At 60.4% G+C, this 22,308-nt stretch overlaps 1 annotated feature.

Annotated features, from left to right (window-relative positions):
* Positions 6,799 to 7,632: an enhancer, noted in NCBI's record as "H3K4me1 hESC enhancer chr14:104655181-104656014 (GRCh37/hg19 assembly coordinates)". NCBI's record gives its function as "activates a minimal SCP1, AML or CMV promoter by ChIP-STARR-seq in primed H9 embryonic stem cells {active_cell/tissue: H9 hESC(primed)}" and the evidence as "EXISTENCE:reporter gene assay evidence [ECO:0000049][PMID:30033119]".

The following is a 22,308-nucleotide window of genomic DNA, read 5'->3' on the forward strand; positions in this document are numbered from 1 at the left end:
CAGGGATAGGCCCAGCAGGGCTGAGGAGACACTGGCTGAAGAAGGAATAAAAGAATACGTGAATGACAGCATCCCCTTAAAGAGGCTCCGGCTGCGGTGGAAGCAGGTCCAGGACAGCTCTGAGCCGTCTGCAGAGAGCCTCCCGCCGGCCCTGCACTGTGGTCCCACACAGACACAGTCCTTCGTGTGGCCACAGGGCCCCCCAGGTCAGGCCACAGGGTCACCCGCACCCAGGCCCCTAGTGTCCATCGCAGGTGGCCCTTGGGACTCCAGCCTCTGGGATTGGGGTTGCAGGCCAGCCTGGGAGGCTGCTGGGGCCCCTGATCCTCCAGCCCCAGCCCTGCTTTTGTTGGAGGCCAGCGCTGCGTCCCAGCAGAAACTCAGACTAATGTGGAGGGCAGGGTTGTTCCCGAGAAGCCGAGGGCCACGCATGCCGGCTCTGTGCTGGGTTTGGAGAACTTGGCGAGGGGGTCGGGTCCGGGTGGGGTGTGATGGAGCTTGGGGTGTGGAGGGGTGATCCTCTCAGGACCCTGCTCTCAGGAGAGCCTGAGAAGCCCACCAGGCCTGTGTCCTGGAAACCTGGTGCAGCTGGCTGTGACCCCTGACCTGCACAGAGGCACTGGCCAGGCACTCTGTCCATGGGATCCAGGACAGTGCTGGGGTCTGAGTGGGGTTGGGTGGGTCAGGGTACCTCATTCTCAGGGACCGGGGTGATGCTGGTCCCAGGAGGGAGGCTGGGGAGCTGCCCTAGAGCCCAGACCACTGCGGGGTGCCGGCTCTTGCTCCCTTCTTGCCCTGTACCTGCTCACCTGCAGGGGATGGGTGGGTGCTGAGGCGTGTCTGGGTGGGTCCCTTTCTTTCATAGAGCACACCCTGCCCCCTCCCCATCCCTCTGTCATTGGAGGGGTCCAGAGCCTGCTTCTTGCTGGGGAGCCTGGTCCTCCCTCCCTGGACCTGGGTCCTCCCTGCCTGGACCCCGGTCCTCGCTGCCTGGACCCCGGTCCTCCCTGCCTGGACCCCCGTCCTCCCTGTCTGGACCCCGGTCCTCCTGCCTGCCGGGCTGGCGTGGCTGGGGCCTTGGGGATGGTGGCCTTTGGGCAGGCCAGGCCGGGCCCATTTCCCACAGTTCAGGCCTGGCTCTCAGAGGGCAGTGCCTGTTTTACAGGACGTGGAATCCACTGTCTTGGGGCCAGCCCAGGAGCTGGGGCGGCCTTTCATCTGGGACATCAAAGCCCTCAGCCCTGTCATTAGGGGCTGGAAAGCTGGCTGGGGAGCGGCCCAAGTAGGAGTCACCCATTTTATGGATGGGAAAGCGGCAGCCGCCCCGGACCCAGCTCTTTGACTGAAACTGAAGCTAAGGCAGCGGCACCAATGCAGCCTGCAGGGAGCCTCCACCTCCTGCTTCCGGGACATTTGGGGAAACTGAGGCCCTGAGAGGGCAAAGGAGCCTCCACCTCCTGCTTCCGGGACACTTGGGGAAACTGAGGCCCTGAGAGGGCAAGGGAGCCTCTGCCTCCTGCTTCCGGGACATTTGGGGAAACTGCGGCCCTGAGAGGGCAAGGGCTGCTTGAGCCTCCAGCAGGTGTTCCTTGAGGATTAGGGGGGCGGATTTGGAGTGTGCAGGGGCAGGATGGGAGGGGCTCACAGGGGAGGGTCAGGGTCAGCTGAGGTGGGGAGAAATGGCAGCCTACGGGGAGCCACGCAGCTGCTGATGGTGGATGGCCAGGGCTGAGGCGGGTTTGGGGTTAGGGGAGTGGGCGCAGGAAAGGATCTTGCTGGGCTGTGCCGGGCACTGGCAAGGTCCTCCCAGGTGGTGTCTCTTGTAGCCTCTGAGGCTGGCCTGGCACCTGGCCAGCCTGCCCCTGCCATGGAGTGAGGTGCCCACCTGACTCACCCAGTAAGTCCAGGCCTGCCCTGACGGCCCTGCCCACACCAGCCCTAGCACGGGAGGCCACGTTGTGGGGTGGGGTGACCAGGGGCAGGGGGTCATGAGGTGGCTAAGAGGAGGCCAGAGCTGGGTGGGCTGGGCAGGCCAGTGGGACAGGAGCTGAGCTACATGGCCTGGGGGGCCCGCAGAGCCGCTCCACAGTCCGCCCTGCTCGCAGAGTGGCGGAGGGTCCGTGAGCCACGGTCTGATTTCCCGGGGCCCCGCCAGGCTGTCTGCCCCGCTCCTTGCTGGAGGGCGGGGGGGTTCCCTATTCCAAGGACTGGGATCCGCAGGAGGCGGAAGAGCAGAGGCCCCTCATCCCTGGACTCTAGGGTCCTCCTATCTGGCTGGGCGTGGTAGGCGTCTGGGAAACTGACTGCAGCTTCAGTAGCAGGCGCTGGGCTCAGAGGTTCCCTGTGAGCCTCCTCCTGTTCACCATCCCAGGGACCACAAGTGCAACCCATAGCGATGGCCATGGGGATGTGACACTAGGGTGGGATGGGAACAGTGGCAGCAATGACAGTGGGAGTGCTGGCAGAGGAGCGTTGGTGGCAGGGAGGCTGGTGGCTGTGGCTGGGGTGGGGCCATTGGCAGAGCAGCAGCAGTACTAGGGATGGTGGCAGCAGAGATCCAACCAGCCTGGCTGATGGGGCAGTGTCGCCCCTCCTGGCCTGCTGGTCGCTTGGCTGCCCTCGGGCCTGTGTGTTCCTCATGAGGCCAGCAGGACGTGGCCCGAGCCTGGTCCTTTCCTGACACCCTTTTCCCTGGGAACTGGGAGTGAGGTCACAGCAGCCTCCACAGGGTTCTCACTGGGTCCTGAGCCCCAGCAGCTGAAGGGGGGAATGGGGGCCGCCTGGAGTGCCCAAGATGGGGGCCCTAAATAACCAGCAGCGGGGTCATTGCCGGATGATGCCACGTTCTCCCGGGGTCCCGGGCCGGGAGGGGAGGCTCTGCCAGTCCCCCTGTGTCTCGAGCCTCAGTCTCCCTCTCTGCCGAGGTTCCTGTTCACGTGTGCGGTCATGTGTGTGAACATGGCTCAGCACCTGTCCTCATCTGCTTCCCCCCACCAGGGCCGCCCCCGGCTACCGTGAAATGGACGGTGCTCTGGGCTCTCCAGAAGGGGACCAGTCTCGGCCCCCACACCCTGGTTCCCTGGGAATCCGAGGAGGCCCCTGCCCTGTGACTGCGCCCCACGCCCCAGGGCCTGTCTGCAGCCCTGGCGGGAGGGTGATTCCTGGGGTGGAGGCCCCCTGTCTGCTCCTCTCCTGGGAACGAGCCCCGCCCCACGGTGCCTGGGGGCTGGGATGTGCTCCCAGCAAACAGGAAGCCCAGGGTGACTTCTCCCTCCTGACATTGTGTTTACCAAGGCGGGATCCAGGCCCGTTTCCACACAGGAAACCCAGGAGGCTGGAAGAGGCTGGGAAGGAATTCCCTGGGCCAGCTAAGACGCTCCGGCTTCCTGTAGGACAGGCAGGCAGTGTGGGGTGGGGGTGGAGTGGGGTGGGGGTAGAGGTGTGGGGTGGGTGGGTTTGGGGTTGAGGGATGGGTAGAGGTGGGAGTGGGGGTAGAGGTGTGGGGTGGGTGTGGGTGGTATGAATAGAGAGATGGGGTGGGGATAGGAGTGGGGTGGGGGTAGGGGTGGGTTGGGGGAGTAAAGGGATGGGGTGGGGTGAGGGTAGGTGTGGGGGGATGGGGTTGGGGTACGGATGGGGTGGGAGGGTAGAGAGATGGGGTGGGGTGAGGGTGGGTGTGGGGAGATTGGGTGGGGGTAGAGATGGGGGTAGATGGATGGGGTGGGGTAGAGGGATGGGGTGGGTGTGGAGGATGGGGTGGGGTGGGGTGGGTGTTGGGGGTACAGGTGAAGGGATGGGGTGGGGTGGGGTGGGTGTGGAGGATGGGGTTGGGTGGGGTGGGTGTTGGGGGTACAGGTGATAAGCAGCTAGGAGTCCAGGGAGGCTCCTGGGGCTCCGGGTGGCCGTGGTGGAACCCCCTTCAGAGCTCTGGATTTGGTGGCAGCCTTGAACGTCCCTGTGTCCCCATGTTGTCACCGGGACCTGCAGGCCCAGGCCCAGGTCTGTCTCCCTTCAGACAGGCCAAGGCTGAGGGGCACAGTGTCTCCCTCTGCAGAGTCCCTGTGGCCGGCACAGGGGACGCGTGAGCCTGGACATTTGTGATTTCAGGGCAGAGGCTTCCAGGAGGGCTGGGAGCAGAGTGGGGCCCTGAAGGTGCTCGCTCCACACCTGGGCCTGGGGCAGCCAGAAGGTCCCCCCTAAACTCCCTCCTGGCCACCTTGTCAGGAGGAGGTGTCATGTCCCAAATGTGGGTCCCCCCCACCTTCCCCCGTCTGCCTGCGCCCAGCTGCACCAGACCTTGGCCTTCGGGGGTGCTGTTTGTTTCAGAATCATCTTTTAAAACTCAGCCTTCTTTTGGGTTTGCAGAAAAACCCTGAGGCTCACACAGAGCCCCCACACCCGACCGCAGGCTCCAGTGCCCCCTCCCACGGGCATGCAGCGAGGCGGTGGCGACGGCCCCAACTCAGGTCGCCCGAGTTCCTGTCCGCTGCCCCTTCCGGGCTCCGCCTCTGGAGGCAGAGACGTAAAGCACCTGGAATTCTGCACGGGAGATTTGTCTCCTCTCTCATTTATTAATTTATCCAAATACTTTCGGCAGCGTGGACTTAGAGATGTTTGTTTTGTACTTTGGGTTACATTCAATACTGTTAGTTTCATGACTAAAGCTGTTCCAGCTCTGGCCAGTGGGAGCCTTTCAGCTGGGTGGCGTCGGTTTTGAGTCCTCAACCATTGCCCCCAGGTCCCCATGGCCCCCAGACGTGAGCTGGTGCTGCCTGGTTCCTAGGCCTGCGGGCATGTGCGTCCCCTTCCCCCGCCCCCCACACGCGTGGCTGACATGTCCCTGCCAGGATGTGTGATTATATATATATAGAAATTAGAAATTACTAGAAAGGGTCTCACTGTCTTCCAGGCTGGAGTGCAGTGGTGCGATCATAGCTCACTGCAGTCTCAAGCTCCCAGGTTCAAATGATCCTCCAGCCTCAGCCTCCCACGTAGCTGGGACCACAGGTGTGCCACCATGCTTGGCTAGTTTTGTATTTTTTTGCAAAGAGGGGGTCTCATTTTGTTTCCCAGGCTGGTCTGGAACTCTTGGGCTCAAGCAATCCTCCTGCCTCGGCCTCCCGAAGTGCTGAGAATACAGGCATGAGCCATTGCCCCGGCCCTTGGATAACGCTTCACACCAGTTGCTTCGCACAGTCCTTAGCTCTCTGCTTGACAGCCCCCGAGCCCACAGGCCTGGGAGTCTCCACCCCTCTGAAGCCGCAGAAGTGAGGGGATGTAATGGCTGAGGCCCGGGCGTGGTGGGGGGTCGAGGTCTCCAAGCACCCGGGTGGAAGGAAGTGTATCTGGGCCCCGTGAGCAGACGGGAGCTCCTGCTGGGAGGAACTGTACCTGGGAAGAGGGACCCCACCCCTGCCCAGGCCCCTGAGCAGCCCAGGACCCTCCCCCAAGGAGGTCTGAGGTGAGATGAGGCCCCTGGAGATGCCCCAGGAGGGTGCTGTCCAGGGTCACAGCCCCGTGCCAGGCTGGGGCCTCCCTGGTGAACTCGGTGGCCCGGAGTGGATGAATGGCATGCGGGAGGCGCCTGCTGGCTGCCAGGGCGGGCGATGCTGGGCTAGTTGCCACTGTGGCACAGCCTGGCCCTGGGGTAATGACATTCCTGAGAACCCTCAGGGTGACATCACTGCGTAGCTGCCTTCACACTGTTGTCACCATCACGGGAGTGTGAGGTCAGATGGACGTGCTGTCCCTGGGGTGTCAGGCCCCCTGCCAGTGCTGGCCAGTCTGCCCTGCCTGCCATACGGGGCTTCAGCCGGCTTTCTGAAGCATCCCGTGGACCTGGCGGGGGCGGCCTGGGGGTGGGGAGGGCTGAGACTGCTGCCACTTCCTTGCCATTCCTGGGGGGCCGCAGGGTCACCATTTGCTCCCACTGCTGACCTGGAGGAAGGCAGCCTCTCTCCTCGGTGGGCTCCTGGTTATCTCAGCCCTTTGGGGAAACACTTGGTCCAGGTTCGGGAAACGGCTCTGCTGCCCTCAAGGGGAAGCCCATGTGCCTCACCGAGGAAACTCCCAGGCGGGGCCGTTGGTAACACTGGAACCCTGAAGGGACCTTGCATAGCTGGGCAGGAAGGGACCAGGGGCTTGAGGGGCGCAGGGGTGGGGCCTGGCCGGCCACTGCACTTCAGGTCCTGGGCAGGCGCCTCCTTTCTGTGCCTTGATTTCCCCTCCTGTAGCAGGAGCAGCTGTCTGCTGCGTCTGAGCTGGCTGATTTGGAATAAATCTCTGCCGTTTCTCCAGCCCCAGGGGCGGCGGGCCATATTTCTCGCAGCCTCAGCGGCTGTCCCGCAAAGCTAATCTGCCTGGCAGAGGGGTGACACTCTAAATCCTGTGCCCAGGCTGATTTGTGGGCCTGCCTGTGCTGGTGCAGGGCTCGCTGGCATCTTTATGAGGCAGGATGAGCCTCGCTGAGAGCCAGGGCAGGCTGGGTGTGATCTACAGCCTGGGCGGCCCCCGCCTGCCAGCAGCCGCCGCTCACGCCCACTGGGCAGGGTGCTCTGGCCCAGGCTGAGGGCAGCCAGGTGTCTGACTCCTGTTGTTCCTGCTCCGGGAGCCTTGGAATTCACCTGCAGGAAGGAGGTTTCACAGCACACAGCTATCCAGGGGGCGCTTCCTGAGCATCGTGGCCTGGGCTCTGGGCCGGGCTGAGCTGAGAGGGCCAGATGAGGGAGACCCAGGTCCTGCCTGTAGGGAACCCAGGCTTCCTGGGCCATGGGCAGGCGACACCTCTCTGCCAAGGCAGGAGGGATCAGTCCATTCTGGCCTGGAGGTGGCTGAGCCAGGAGGGCATCTGCCTCTGAGACAGCCTGCAAAGCATCGGTGCTGGAAATCGCCTGGGTTCCAACCCCAGCTCTGCCACTTCCCACCTGGGCTGCCGGAGGAGTTCCCTGAGATGGGCAGGGATGGGGCCTGGCTGGCCTGGCGGGGGCCTGGAGAGCAAGGGGGCCATGCACTCTGTCTCAGGGGGGACCCCAGTGAGGCCCCCCTGCACCTGTGTTCGTTGTTTCCTCCTCAGCAGCGCAGAAGGCTCCTGTTAGCTTTACCCAACGGGCTGGCTGAGCACCTGGGAGGGCAGTTCCTCAGGGCTGGCTGCTGTGTGAGGGGAGCCAGGGTCCCTGGGACAGTACAGGGGGTGAGGAGGCAGGTAGCAGGCCCCCTACAGCCTCACAGTGCCACGGGGCTGGCGGCATGGCCAGGGCTCTGAGCCGTTGGTGCAGGAGGGCGCCCAGGCCCAGTTAGTCCGAGGTGGGACCTGGAGGCTGGTGCAGGCCACTGTTTACTTACTTCCCGTTATGCTGATCTGCCTGAGAGATTCAGTCCCCGGCTGCGCGTGTCAGGCCATGCAGTTTGTTAATAAGGCACAGAGGAGAGTAAAACACCTCCTCTAGGTGGCCAGATTTATCACTTGGTGTGTGCACACATGAGCAGGTGCACACATACATGAGCACACACATACATGAGCACACACACACACACATGGGCACATGCACGTAGGGACACATGTACACACATGCACACATGGGCACACATGCACGTAGAGGCACACCCGTACACATACATGCACACACGGGCGCACATGCACCTAGGGACACACACGTGCACACACGTGCACACACGGGTGCACATGCACATAGGGGCGCACATGCACACACGGGCACACATGCACCTAGGGACACACATGTACACACATACATGCACACGGGCACACAGGCACGTAGGGGCACACCCGCACACACGCATGCACACGGGCACACATGCACTTAGGGACACACATGTACACACACATGCGCACATGGGCGCATGCATGCACACACACACACGTGCACTCAGGAGTCATGGGACCCGATGCCCTGCTCTTATGTCCATCTTCTTGGAGCCCTGGCATGGGGGCTCCCCCACCAGTCCCCACCTCCAGCTCTTCCTGGCAAGCCCGTGGGGAGGGGAGGAACTTGGCCTGCGTTCCCACAGACTGGCACAGGGAGCAAATCTGCCCAGCAAAGGTTGGGTGGCCTGCAGACCCAAGCCCACTCTGCTGGACACCTGGGCTCAGGTGCTAGACCGGGGGCTGCTCTTGCGGGCAGAGGAGGCCTCTGAGCTGCTGCCGGGAGAAGGAGGCTGGGCTCCAGGGTCGGGGGTTCAGGGCTGTGGGTTTGGGGATCTGGGGGTCCTGGGTCTGAGGATCTGAGGTGGGAGGACCTGGGAATCTGTGAGTTTGGGGATTGAAGCTTCAGCTCAGAGCCCAGTGCTGCTTTGGAGTGTCCCCTGAAGGAACCTGGAGTAGAGCACCAGCATTTTCTTCCAGAAGCTTCTTTTGGGCCACTATTGTCTCAGACTGGTACCCGGCCAGGACATGCATGGGAAGGTGGCCTCTGGTGGCCTGTGGCCAGCTGTGCTTGGTGACTTCCAGGCCAGAGCCTAGGTAGACTGGCCCAAACCCTCAGAGGGTCCCCCCAGGGCAGATGGGCTTCCCGGTGTAGGCTGTATCTGTGGAGCCCAGGGAAGGGGGCGTGCGGGAGGGCAAGGGGGCTGCTGAGGGTGGGATGTGGGTGGAGGAGGCAGGATGGAAGGCAGGGGCAGGGCTGAGACCTGGCAGTAATGGGGCCACACTCAGAAGGACCCACACTGTTATGCCCAGTCGTCGCCACCTTGAAGTTCATAACGACTCTTGGATAAGGTGCCCAGGGTTTCTGTTACGCTGTGGGCCCCACCCAAAATTATGTGGCTGGTTCTGAAGAGGGGACTCTGGGAGCGGGAAAGGCAGGCACAGAGGCTGAGGTGGGAGTGCTGGGGAGGCCGGGGGTCCACGCTAGCTGTCTCCATTCCTGATTCCTGCCCTGGGGGCAGAGGGTGGGGCTGGTCGGGCCTGCAGCTCACTGTCCTGAACCCCAGTTGCCTCCATCCCGTGCCTCCTCCCTGCTCCCCGCCATGAGCCAGGCTGCAGAGGTGGGCTGTACTCCCAGACTCAGCATCAAAAACTGCCCTGTGACCTAGGAAAGCCCCTTGGCCTCGCACTGGTGAAATGACACTGACCTTTGATTTTTGCACTTTAAAGGGTGGAGGTTGGAAAGGTCTGGCGAGAGCCACAGCCTGGCCTTGCAGGAGCCAGCTCCGACCTGTGACCTCAGCCCCCTGGGCCTCAGTTTCCCCATTATGGAAATGGGAACTTGGAGGCTTAGGGCTCCCTGCACAGTGGAGGTGGGTGGGTCCCTGAATGGGGAGAGCAGAGGCTTTGGGGCAAGAAGTTTTGGTGGGTGAGAGGCAGAGGTGGGGAATGCAGGCAGGGGCCTCCCCTTGCACCTGCATTCAGGGGAACAGAGGACGTGTGGGCCAAGACCCTAGGAGGTCTGAGGACTGGTCCCAGGTTGGGGTGGGCATGGTGGCTCGGCCACCGTGGGGAGGCAGAGGGCTGCTCGTAAATCCACGCTGCTGTCAGCTGAACGGCAATTGCGGATTGAGGCGGCCATCGGGGCTGACCTCCTGGGTCTGACGGGTCCATCACAGAGCAGCACCGCAGGGAGAGGCGGCTCTGCCTGGGAACCCACCTGCACGGACCACACGGCCCAGGGCCTGCCAGTTCCTGCCTCCCGTTCCTGGGTGGGGCTCACCTAGTGTCACAGAGACACGGAGTGTCGGGCAGTGACTGGCCTCAGTGCCCAGACCAGCTGGGCTATCTGAGTGCAAATTCTGCCTGCTGTGTGACCCCAGGTGTGCTACTGAACCTCTCTGTGCTCCTCTGAAACTGGAGATCCGTATTCACCCCTACCTCACTGGGGCTCAGTTAGATGATTTGACCCGGAGTATGCAGCTTAGTGGTGCCTGGCACATAAGGAACGCCAATGGATTTGGCTCCAATGGGGATGGCACGGACAGGGGTAGGATGATGTGTGCACAGTGCAGCCTCCCGTCGGGTCCACGGCCAGGCTCTGCTCCCACCAGCTGTGTGGACTCAACATGGAGCCTGGGAAATAGAAAAAGGCCTGTGAAGTGCCCGGAGCCAGCGGCACAGGGTGGGGGCACCAGGAGCTGCTGCCTGGTCCTCTCTAGGGCAGTGACTATTTGCTGCCATTGCCACGGGGATTTATCGGGGCCCCTCCATGTCCAGGCGTGGGCAGGTATCCGTGTCACCCCGTGTTACAGACCAGGAAGGCCAGGTCCAGGGCAGGCCGGCCTGTGCAAGGCTGACGGGAGGAAGGAGAGCCAGGCCTCTCCCTGCCTCGCCTCGCAGCAGAGCCCTGGGTCTGGGCAGGAGGACGGGCGGCCACAAGGAGGGCCAGACCCACCCTGGGGCCACACTGGGTTGCGTCTGCCCCTGGGGTGAGCCTGGTGGAGCCGGAGGGGCACTGCAGAGGGGCAGAGGGGTCTCCTCGCACTCGGCATGGACTCTGCCCCTGCTCCTGAGACTGGTTGGCCTTGAGGGCTCCTCCGGGAGCCTGGTGCCCTCACTCTTCAGAACAGCTCAGCACCCACAGCCTGGCCAGCTGGAGCAGCTGGGTGGTGGTTCAGATGGGATGGTGGGGTCAGTGGGACAGGCTCTGGCTTCTGGGGGCAAGGAATGAGCTGGAGGCAGGGGAAAAGGAAGGGGCTGGGCGTTGGGCGGGCTGGCACATGGGATGTGCCTGCTGAGGCCTGTGGGCAGGTCTTGGTCTGGGGACAGCCCTGCCCCTGTGTGTACCTGGCTCCCTGCTCCAGGCAGCTCCCCAATCTCAGGCTCAGCTACCCGGGGCCCTCTGCCCTCGTCTTTCTGCCCAGCTCTTGGGGGCTGTCCTGCTTCTGTCTCCCAAGGGCCTCACCCAGAGCTGAGGCAGGGGTGGGGATGCCCCCTGCCTGTGGCTGGTTGGCCTGCTCTCTCTCCTGCTCCCTTTGCTGTGAGTTGGGTGAGGAGGGGGCTCCGCCGCACTTGAGAGCTTCTAGCAGCAGCGCACCAGGCACAGGCATCGTGGCGTCGGGTGGCAATACATGGGGTGTGAACATAGAGCCGGGGCAGGTTGAGCAGACTCGCAAATGAGCTCCCAGCCCCCAGGGAGGCCTTGTGGGAGACCCCAGCCCACTCCCAGGGACCTACCCCAGTGCACCCCTGGGGAAATCAAGGCTGGGGTGGTCTCCTCTCGCAAGGCTGCTCAGCCCTCTCCTCCCCAACCACCGAGGCCTCTGCTGGGCGAGATCTCACAGCCTTCAAAGGCAGAGCCCTGGTGCCCTTCTCTTGGCATCTGTGCCCACTTCTCGGCCCCCACCCCGGCCACTCCCCCCCACCCTGTGGATGTGTCTTTCATCTGTCCCTTTGTGGCCCTCAGCCCTGTCCTCCTCCCTGCACTCTCCCTGGGCCACCTGCCCCTGCCCTGGGGCTTCACGTCCCCCTGGGCCACCTTGGCCCCCAGACCCCATCCCTGTGCCCCACATCTGCAGTTCCATCGTTTCTCTGGTATCTGCCCCATGTCCCTCCGGCCCCCAGATCTCTCAGACTTGTTCTCCCCTGTGCACCCCTCCTGGGGGCCCTGTTTCATCCTCTTCCGGAACCGGGGCATCAACTTGGGTTCCCTCCTCACCCTCAGTGCCTCCACCCAGCCCCAGTGCCATGGCAGGGTCGGGACCCTCAAGCTCTCAGGGCTGGTCCAGGAAGAGCCTCTGTCCAGGTGACCTGGGCACAGGGGGAGCATGGCAGTGGCGGGGGCAGGTGGGAAGGGATTGGCTTAAAATGCAGCATTCACTTAAAAACACAAAGAACATTTGTTCACCATGAAGTCAGGTCCTGCTCTGGTTGGTCTGTTTTTGGTTTTTACCTGGTTTTTTGGTAATTACCTGGTTTGCTTTGAGCTGCTTCCAGGCATCAGCCAGCCCCATATCCTGGTGGGGTTTCCTGGGGCCCCATTTATGCTCCCTTGGAAGTACCAGAGGGTCTTCTTTTCTCTTAAAGAAACAAATATTTGCACAGTTCAGCGCTGGGAAGGCCTCTGGCCGAGGTGGCCCGCGCACCCTGAGCCATGAGGGGTCAGGGCTGGGCAGAGGGGAGGGGGTGGATGAACGGCTTCTGCAGAGACAGTCTTGGCTCCACAATCTCCTCAGCTCAGGAGTGTGGATGTGCCATCCTGGAGCAGGTGCCTGTCTCTCCATGGTCCTGGCTGGGTGCCGTGGGTTCCGGACGGCAGGGCACCTGCCCATCCAGGGCTCCGGAGCAGCGAGGCTAGGCTGGGCCTTCAGCTCTGTCCTTGCTGGGCAGCGATTTCCTCTTCTGGACAATGGGGAGAGCTGTCCCTCGTCCTGGAGGGTGAAGTGGGTGGTGTGCGTGATGATCCCCGGTGCCCAGCACATGGTGGGCTCAGTGAAGCCAGACTTTTCTAGTTCTTCTTTAGTTCCCTAGACCTAAGCTCTCAGCTCGTGCTGTGTCAGGGCTGTGTTGAGGGAGGGAAGTCAGGTGTAGACTGAAGCTCTTAAGACTCTTAAGAGCTTCTACGGTCCAGGGTGTCACCTACGGTCCAGCAGGTGACTGATGGTCTAGCAGACGATTAGGCCAGTAGAGAGGCAGAGAAAGTGCGGGGGACTCAGAGGAAGGGAAGTGCTTCCATCTGGGCCAGGGGTGGTTAGGGAAGACTTCCCGGAAGAGGAGGTGCTTAGGGGAACCTGGAAGGGCAGAGAGAACCAGAGATGCAGGGGTGAGGGTCCTTCTGGCAGGTGTCTGTTTCAGGGGATGTCTGTGTTCGGTGAGGCCAGGGCTGAGCTCTACTGTTGGCTGAGCTGTGGGGGCGGCCAGGCAGGGCCCAGCATGCCAGGCTGAGGATGGGGCCAAGGGGGGCACGGCATGCTGGCCCCCCTGCTTGGTGTTCACTCTTGGGGACTGGACAGTGGTCCTTTCAACGAGCCCCCTCGCAGTCCCTGCCCTGGGGTCTCTCCATAGACCACTCTGCACACGCAGACCCTCCTGCTAGCGGACCGGGCCACAGCGAGGAGTGAAGACCCTGTGCAGAGTTCTCGTGCGGCCAAGGACAGCAGCCCACCTGAGACAGGTGCCCTGTAGTAGTGGCGGGAGTCAGAGACACCCCAGGGACAGCAGCAGGGGCTGCTTGCGGTTTGGAAGTCCCACCTGTGCCCAGACCACCAGCAGGGTCTCTCCTTCCCAAACCACCCCCTTTCCAATTCTGGGGGCGTCAGAGACTGCTGGGGGCATGGGGTGAGGCAGGGAAGGGTGGTGCGGGAGGCTGAGTGGGAGGGAGAGGGTGGGATGAGGCCCTGCATGCTGGACAGGACTCTGATGCATCACCCATCCCAGGGAATCTGAGTCTGAAACACAGAAAGGACCCACAGCCATTGGGTGTCCCCGGGCCTTAGCTTGCTGGGCCCAGGGCAGGCCGGGCTGCTTCTTGCCCGGGGAACTCAGCAGACCCCTGGATCGCTCCGGGGTGGGTGAGAGGCTGTGGAGGGAACCCTGTCCTGGCCGGCTGACCTCACAGCCCTCTCCTGCAGACGGGGCAGTCGAGGAGTAAAAGAATGAAAAGCAGTCAAACAGCCCCAGGAGACGCAGGTGAGGCTGGGCGACGAGCGGAAGCTGGAGATGGGGCCGCATGGTGGGCAGCAGCAGGGCAGGCTTGTGGGGTGAAGGAGGCTGGGGCATCCGGCATGGCAGAGGCAGCTTGAGTTTGGCGGAAGGGTGAGGCGTGGGGCCTGGGCCCACAGGAGGCCAGCGTGGTTTGGGGGCCTGGTTGGGTCTGAGATGCTTTGGGTGGTCCGGGGGACGTGTCCCATAGGCAGCTCCAGGTGGAAGCTTTGGGCTGAGGCAGAGGCTGCCTATGCACTCACCAGCTCGTTAATTCATCCTTCATTCTTGCCGGGAGCTGTTGGGGAGGCCATGCTGGGGGCCGGCTCCTGCTGGCTGACAGGAGCCAGTTGTTCCACAGATTTGTCATTCAATAGTGTAGAATCAGATCATGTCCTCGTTCTCGCCACGGCGCGGAAAGCTAACAAGAGTCAGCCCGGCTGCAATCTGCAGTGCTGGCGGTTCCCGTTGAATGAGTGAAATTGGTGTGAGGGTGAGATAGGCGGTCGTTGAACAGAGAGCACACATCAGACCTCACGACAATGAGCTTCTTGGGAAAAGAGACCTGGCTTCCTTTGTTGACTCGCGGGAGTGGCAGCTGCGGGGCTGGCTGGAAATGAGAGCAGAGCCAAGGAGCCTTCAGGGCTCAGACTTCACCAGGGAGAGTTGTGTATCTGTTTGTGTTATTTCTAAACTGTGTGTACAGGTCTTTCATGGCGGTAACATGTATAATCAACGTGCATTCGCATACACAAGCATCTGTTCTTTTCTCTGAGCCAGTTGTTAAAACATTTACCAGCACCGCTGTGGGGGCTGGGGAGAAGGTGCTTTGGAGGGGGGTGGGTGGGACACCTTAGGGTGGGGAGAGGGTGTGTAGGATGAGCCCAGGTAGAGAAAGAGAAGGCAAGGGCAGGGGAGGTGGTGTCTAAATTAGGGCAGAGCTTACCAAGGACAGGCCAAGGCAAGGAAGGGGGAAGGTGGCCGTGGTCATGGCTGGGCGGGAAGGAGGGTGCAGGAGGCGGGGCCGTGGTGCCGGGCTAGAAGGAGGCAGCCACGGGGTTCTGGTCTACTGACTTTCATTTCCTTTTCTTTCTTGAAGCGTGTTCCGGGCAGTCCATCCACCCCCCATTTCTGCCTTTGCTTGTCCCGTGCCCACAGGTGCCCCTGACAAGAACCTGGTGTGAGTGGGGTGTCTGCAGTTAGCTTGCAGCCAGGACGAAACATGAATGCACTTGTGGGTCTGCGAGCGAAGCTGGTGATGTTCTCTGCCAGGCAGCGGCTCCCTGGTCTCCTTCCAAGGTTGGGCAGACATCGCCTGCCTGGAGCTGGGCCAGAGGCTGAGAAAGGCAAGGGAGGGTCTCAGCCCCCAGCTCACTGCAGGAACTTGTTGCACCCATGGGGACTGAGAGGCAGGGCTGGGTCAAGGACCAGGGCCTGGTGGAGAGGTGGGGGCCTGGCTGCCCCAGCCCTGCTCAGACATGCTGTTAGGCCTTGGGAGAGCCCCTTCCCCTCTCTGGGCCTCACCATCCCCACTGGATGAAGTGGGGGCTGGGATGCTGGCCTTGAGGTTGATCCCAGTGGTGAGATGGGGTGGAATTGCTGTCCTCACGACTCCACCAACCCACCATTCCCTGTCCACTGTTTTATTATTCACTTGATAAATATCTATTCAGTGCCCACTTGATGACAGGAAGTAGTACAAGTATAGTCCTTGCTGTCCTGGGGCCAACCCCCTCTCCCATATGCCCATCTATCTACCTATCTCTCTGTTCATCCTTTCTCTCAGTCTGTCAGTCATTCGCCAATCTATTTTTCATACTCCCATCTATTGCCTCAGCCCTTCTCTCATCTACCCATCCATCCATCCATCCATCATCTATCCATATATCCACTCATTATCCATCCATCCACCCATCATCCATCATCCAGGCATCATCCATCATCCATTCATTCATCATCCATTCATTTATCATCATTCATTCATCCATCTATTATCCATTCATCCATGATTCATCCATCTATCATCCATCTAGCATCCCTCCATCATTCATCCATTCATCATCCATCTTTCATCTATCCATCCATCTATTCATCGTCTAGCTATTATCTTTCTATCCATCATCCATCCTCTATTCATCAGTTCATCCCATCGTCTACCCATCCTTCTATCCATATGTCGTCCATCTATCCGCCATCCATCCACCTATTCATCCATTCATCCATCTATCCATCATCTGTCCATCCATCTACCCATCCATCAACCAGCTATCCTCTATTCCTTCATCCACTCACCCATTCATACACTCACCCTTCCTCTCTCCCTCCATTCACCCACCCAGTTACCCATTCCTTCCTTTCTTTCTCTCTCCTTCTACCCATCCATCTATCCACCCACTTATCCACCTACCTGCTCATCCATCCATCCATCTATCTGTCCATCCATCCATCCATCCATCCCTCTTTCCATTCATCCTTCCATTTCTCCCTCCCTTTCTCTCTCCATCCATCCATTTACTCACCCACCTATCCACCCACTTATCCAATGGCAATCAAGACTTGCTTCGTGCTGGACTCAGGGCTGGGAATGGGGGTGATAGAAATGAGGTAGACCTGGTTCCTGCCCTTGTAGACCTTTTAGCCTTTGGGAGAGGCATCTGTGGACTTCCTTACTGCTTACAGCATGGGAGATATGCTTGTGATGTCTGCACAGGTTTGGAGGCATTCAGGCCACTTGGGTCTCAACGGAGCCTGAGCTGGGCTGGGCTTGGCCAGGCTGCTCTGCAGGGGAGGATACCCTGATGGACAGGGCTCCCCTCAGTGGCAGTGACTCTCTAGTTTGCTGTATTGTCTGTTGGGGCTGCATTTGAGAAGGTGTGTCCTGGAACGTGACCCATCTCCCCGGAGCCCAGCCTAGGTTAGGCTTAGGTGACCCCGAGGGCTTGGAGAGGCCCTGAGAAATGACTCCGTGGGTCAGGTGAGTATGGAGAGAACTGTACCCAAGGTTGCCCAGGGAGTCCAGCCACTGGCCCCATCCTCTCCCCTGGGAGGCCGATAGCTGCCTGCTGCTTTCCATTTGGGGCAGATGGACTCTGTCCCCAAAGGACCCTTTGCCAGGTCACCAGAGCTATGGCGGCATCTGCCTCCTGCCTGCTGCAGAGCCCTGCGTAGAGCTGTCCCCATAAGTGGCATCTGGAGGGCCATGTCTGTTGAGAGGGTGGGATATTGGCATCTGGCAGATCCGAGTCTGGCTCTGACATCTTTGCCGGCAAGGCCCTCAGCCTTCCTTAGCCTCATTTTTCACATCCATAAAGTGGGAATGGCTGTGCTGGAGTCTGTGTTTAAGCAGCCCCAGGCGGCCTGGAGCACATGGCGCATGTGTGCGTCAGAAGGGCTGCCTGGGGGGCTCAGGGAGGCTCTGGTGCTGGGGTGCAGGAAGCTTGGGGACTTGGGCTTAGCAAGTCACTCTTGGGGGTGCCTCAGGCAACTCTGTTGCTCTCCTAGACCTGTGGGATGGATCCGTGGTGTCTGCACCTGCACCTACATACAAGGATGGCATAGTCCTCCGGACCAAACACATTCGATGAGGACACGCTTTTCAGTGAGAGAACAGCAGCAGCAGGAACAAGCATCCGTTATGCAGACCTGCCTGTCCCCGATTCTCCCAGACACGGAGCGGCAGAGGTGTCCTTCTCTTTCTGGCAAGGTTTCAGGGTAGAGGCACGGTGCTCGGGGTCCCACGGCTGGTGGGTGGCCCCTGTGCTTCTCGCTTTGGGATTTGCTGTCCCCGAGCTGCCCATCATCGTTTTCTGGGTACCTGAGATGCAGTGTGGTGAGTTGGGCGTGGCCTGGACACAGGCTGAGCAGGTCAGGGCACTGGGAGCTGGCCTGGCACCGGCTGCTGGGCTGGTGACCAACCAACGCAGAACCCTCAGGAAAGAGGTGGGGAGCTGTGCACCAGCTGTCTCGGGGTGATTTGTGGGGAAGCCGATGTGTGGCTGCGTCCTGAATCACACTGGGGGTGTTGCACACGCCCACCAACAGCCTTGTTCCTAAATTATCTTTTATGATCGCCAGCAAATCTGCGGGTAGGGGGCATTTGTACCCAAACGAAGCCGTTATTTGTGGTGGCAGACATGGCATTAATTATTGACGCGCCCGGCCACCTCCAGTTAAAATTCATGGTCCAGCCACTCTGCAAATATTGATTCTGTCCCAAGTTGATGTTTTCCCCTTAACATTATTATAATGAGGGATAAAAATCAAATTGCCTTCACTGAAACTCAATCATTCTTCCGTGCCATTCCTCATTGATCTTTCTTTCCCCAGGTTTTACCATAAATTATTCTATTCAATTAAGTAAACTCACACATAATGGCATTCTGCAAACTGAATAATTTATTGACTATGTTTGGCAAAAGGCTGGTTTGGAGTGGGCTGGGGAAGGGAGGGGGCTTGGTCCTCCATGTTCCCAGGGCTGGTGGGGCTGGGCAGGAGCTGCGGTGGGGGTGAGGGTAGGGGTGGGGGTGGGGCTGGAGGCCGTGGGGGTGTCTGGGCCTGGGGTCCTGGCGGCCACAGTCAGGAGCTAAGTGTCGTCCCCCTGCCCATCTGCCTACTGTGCAGCCTGGGCCTTGGCCTCATGCCTGATACCAAAATCTGCCTTCGTCTGCTTGGGCCTTCGTAACAAATGCGCAGACGGGGCAGCTGAAACAGCGGACCTTTGTGGCTCACAGTTCTGGAAACTGGAAGTCTGAGCTCAAAGTGCTGGCGGGTTGCTGTCTGCTGAGGCCTGTCTTCTGGGTGTGCCGACGGTTCCTCCGTGCTGTGTCCTCACGGGGCCTTCCCTCTGTGCACTCATGTGACCCTGGTGTCCAAATATCTTCTTCGAAGGACACCAGCCAGATTTGATTGGGGCCCATGAACAGCCTCATTTTAATTTAGTCACCTTTTTTTTTGAGATGGAGTCTTGCTCTGTCGCCCAGGCTGGAGTGCAGTGGTGTGATCTCGGCTCACAGATGCCGGTGCCCCCACTTCTGGGACAACAGGAAGGCTTTGAGGGTCTGAAGGTCACAGGTGCAGGCTCCAGAGCAGGGGCGATGGGCCCCACCCGTAATGCACCCTTCCCCCACCTGCTCTGGGCCCTCCACACCCTTGGGAGAGACCCCTGGGCCTGCCCGGTTCTGGACGTGCCAATTAGAGCCTCTTAGCAGAGGCCTGGCCAGGCTCGGGCACCTGGGCACCCTCTGTGGATGGGGACGTGGATTAGGGCCTGTGTCCAGCCTGATCTTGGTGGGGGCATCAGCCGGGAGGTGTTCTGTGTCCTGGCAGCAGGGCCTGTCTGTGCCTGGGGCCTCCAAGTACAGACCCCTCAGGAAGGAGGCAGAGGGAGTGTGGGGCGCCCCAGGCCTTTGTCTCAGAAAAGCGCCCCAGCTCCGCGGCTGCATTCCAGTTGAGTCTGAGCCTGAGTCCCACTCCGGCAGCCACAGTGCACCCAGTGGGTGGGAGGCGTGGCCGGGGCTCGGTGCGGCCCCGTGTGTGACTGGCCGTGGTGGCTGTGGCTTCCTTGCTGCCACAAGGCCTGGGCTAGAGCTGGCCCCTCCTGGCTGGTGCTGCCGAGGAGCTGCGCTGGGTGCTTCATGGATGGTTACCTCCAGCTGGTCATGCCAGGCAGGGTGTCCCTCATGGGGTTCCGGCACGTGAGTGGCACCCTGGGGGACTGCTGCAACCAAGGCTGTTGGCACTGCAGGCAGCTGGGCCTGTCTGTGCGCTGGCCAGGCCCTCCCTGGAAGACCCAGGAGCGGGTTCATCTCAGCCTTCACCTTGGGCTGCAGAGATGAGCACTCCAGGGAGGGGAAACTGAGGCCAAGGGGCCCAGCAAGTGCAGAGAGGGGGCCTTCTCCAGCCATGGGCCCTGCCACCCCCCACAGGTGCTGCCAGAGACAAGGTGTGGAGCACCCCCGCCACACCCCTTTTCTGCCTCAGTCCACGTGCCGCCGATACAGGACTCTGCAGGACAGGCCCCAACTGAGGCCCCGGCTGGTCTGTGGTTCCTGCCTGGCCTTGGGTGTCACTGAGCTTCAGGGGTGCATCTGTCCTCAGAGAAGCAGGAGGGGAGCCACAGGAGGTGAAGGTGGAGAAAGGGTGCCGAGGCGGTGGAGACTGTGGATGGTCCGTCTCCTGCCCTGGACAGAGGGTTCTGGGGGCCTCGCTGACACCAGCCCTGCAGCCCCCAGCCCCACCTGGCCCACCACCTCTTTGCACTAGGGATCTCTGAGTGATTTTTCTCCCCAGTGAAGAGTGGAAACCAGCTGCTGTTCAGATTTCTTCTCTGAACCGATTCCGTCACTGCTTCCTCCCAGAGCCCAGGCCCTCTCCCTGGCTGTTACATATTTAGTTTGGACAGAGTCTGGGATGTGTGTAGCTGGTAGAGGGGACACGGATGCAGCTTCCTCTGAGCTGGCTTTGAGGCTTCCTGGGTGAGTTCAGCGGGCTTCTGGGGTCCCCAAGGCAGAGACGCCTGCCTGCCTTCTGCCAGGCTGGTGGCACAGCTGGCCCTCACCCAGCGGGCAGCACGTGCGTGGTTTCAGACAGAAGCATGGCAGGTGTGGGGTTTTATGGGGAGCACTTCCGTATCCTCTTCCTGCTGTGCTTGAGCTGTGGGGAGCTGCTGCTGGCCCTTCACGAGTCTCTGGGCTAAGCCGGGCAGTTCCTCCGCCAGCATGGAGCCGTGCTGGCGACAGCCTGGTGAATGCCAAGCAGCTTGGCGCCCAGCCCAACTGTTAAGGGTCTCATTTGCATCAGGCAGCCCAGCGCCGGCTTGTCCAGCCCTCCCGATGGCCGTCCTGGGGGTGCTTGGCGTCACCCGCGTGGAGGCAGATTGTCACGCTCGGCAGCTCCCCAGCTCCGGGGGCTTTTACGACTGGCATCAGGTCCTGCTAATTACAGGGACACATGTGTGCCGGGTGTGCGTGGGAGTGTGTGTGGGAGCATGCGTGGGATCGTTTATTTGAGCTGGATGAGGACTGACCGACAGCTGATGGTTAGAGGGGGCAGATGGGTCACCTTCCAGCTTAGGGTACTCCTCTCTGTAGGACACGCCTGGAGACAGAGATGGGCAAGGTGCTTGCGGGCTGCTCCCTGGGTGAGTGTTAGCAAGACAGGAAACCGGGGATGCCCGGGCTTCAGGGAGCACATGGGGTGGGGATGGGGTTACAAGATGCTGCACAGATGATGCTGGCAAAAAGGCAAGAGTAACACATGGCATGAGAGAGGGCAGAGAAAGTTCTAGAAAGAGAAAGCAGAGGTTACTTTCAGCTAGGAGAACCAGAGAAAGCCTGGAAGAGACGTGCTATGGCTTTGCAAACCCACCCTTGGCCCCTTTGTGCCCAGGAGGCTGTAGGAGGCAGAGGTGCTAACAGGGTCAGAGGCCAGAGGAGGACAGGGGTGTGTTCCTGTCTCCGCCTCCTTGGCTCCCTCCCTGGCCTCCACGGTCCTGGCTCTCCAGCCCTCCCGACTCCTGCAGGCTCATCCATGGGGTGCGGGCCCCTTTCCCGTCTGTGCCTGGGTCACAGCCCACCAGAGAGCTCCCATGTCTAAAGCCAGCAGCAGGAGTTTGGGGCTGCAGGAAGCGCAGCTGTTTTTAGGGATTAGCGAGCATTGCCAGCACCTGCTTGGGTTGTGCTTCCTGGCCATGCCACACCTGGTGGTGGCAGTGGGTGCTGGGGCCTTTCCATGGGCCCCTTTGTTCTATCCCACAGGGCTGTGGGCAGGAGAGTAGCCAGGACGATGCAGTTTGGTGCATTGAAGCTGCCATCAGAGGAGAGCTCCTGATGGAAAGTGCTGGGGATGCCTCGCAGGCTGGCCTCACGGGGCCGCAGCAGGGAGATCATGAGGGAGAAGCTCTCTGTCGTAGTGGGGAGTTCTCTGGTTAGTCTCTTTCCTCCTTTCATGCCCATCCTTTCTCCCTCCCTTCCTTGCTGCCTTCCTTTATTCCACTGAGCTATCCTATCTTACATTATTCATCTACCCATCCATCCATTCATCCATTCATCCATGCATCCATCCATCCATCCATGCATCCATCCATCTATCCATCCATCCATCCATCCATCCATCCATCCATCCATCCATGCATCCACCCACCTATCTGTTCATCCATCCATCCATCCATCCATCCATCCATCCATCCATCCATGCATCCATCCACTTATCTCTTCATCCATCTATCCATGCATCCATCCATCCATGCATCCATCCACCTGTCTGTTCATCCATCCTTCCATGCAACCATCCATCCATGCATCCATCCATCCATGCATCATCCATCCATCCATCCATCCATCCATCCATCCATGCATCCACCCACCTATCTGTTCATCCATCCATCCATCCATACATACATACATACATCCACCTATCTCTTCATCCATCTGTCCATGCATCTATCCATCCATGCATCCTCCATCCATCCACCCATGCATCCACCCATCCATCCATCCATCCATCCATCCATCCATCCATCCATCTGTCTATCCATCCATCCATCCATCTATCCATTCATCCATCCATCTATCCATTCATCCATCCATGCATCCATCCACCTATCTGTTCATCCATCCATCCATCCATCCATCCATCCATCCATCCATCCATCCATCTATCCATCCATCCATGCATCCACCCACCTATCTGTTCATCCATCCATCCATCCATCCATCCATCCACTTATC

Source organism: Homo sapiens, chromosome 14 (genome assembly GCF_000001405.40).
Source record: "Homo sapiens chromosome 14, GRCh38.p14 Primary Assembly".
Classification (NCBI taxonomy): domain Eukaryota; kingdom Metazoa; phylum Chordata; class Mammalia; order Primates; family Hominidae; genus Homo; species Homo sapiens.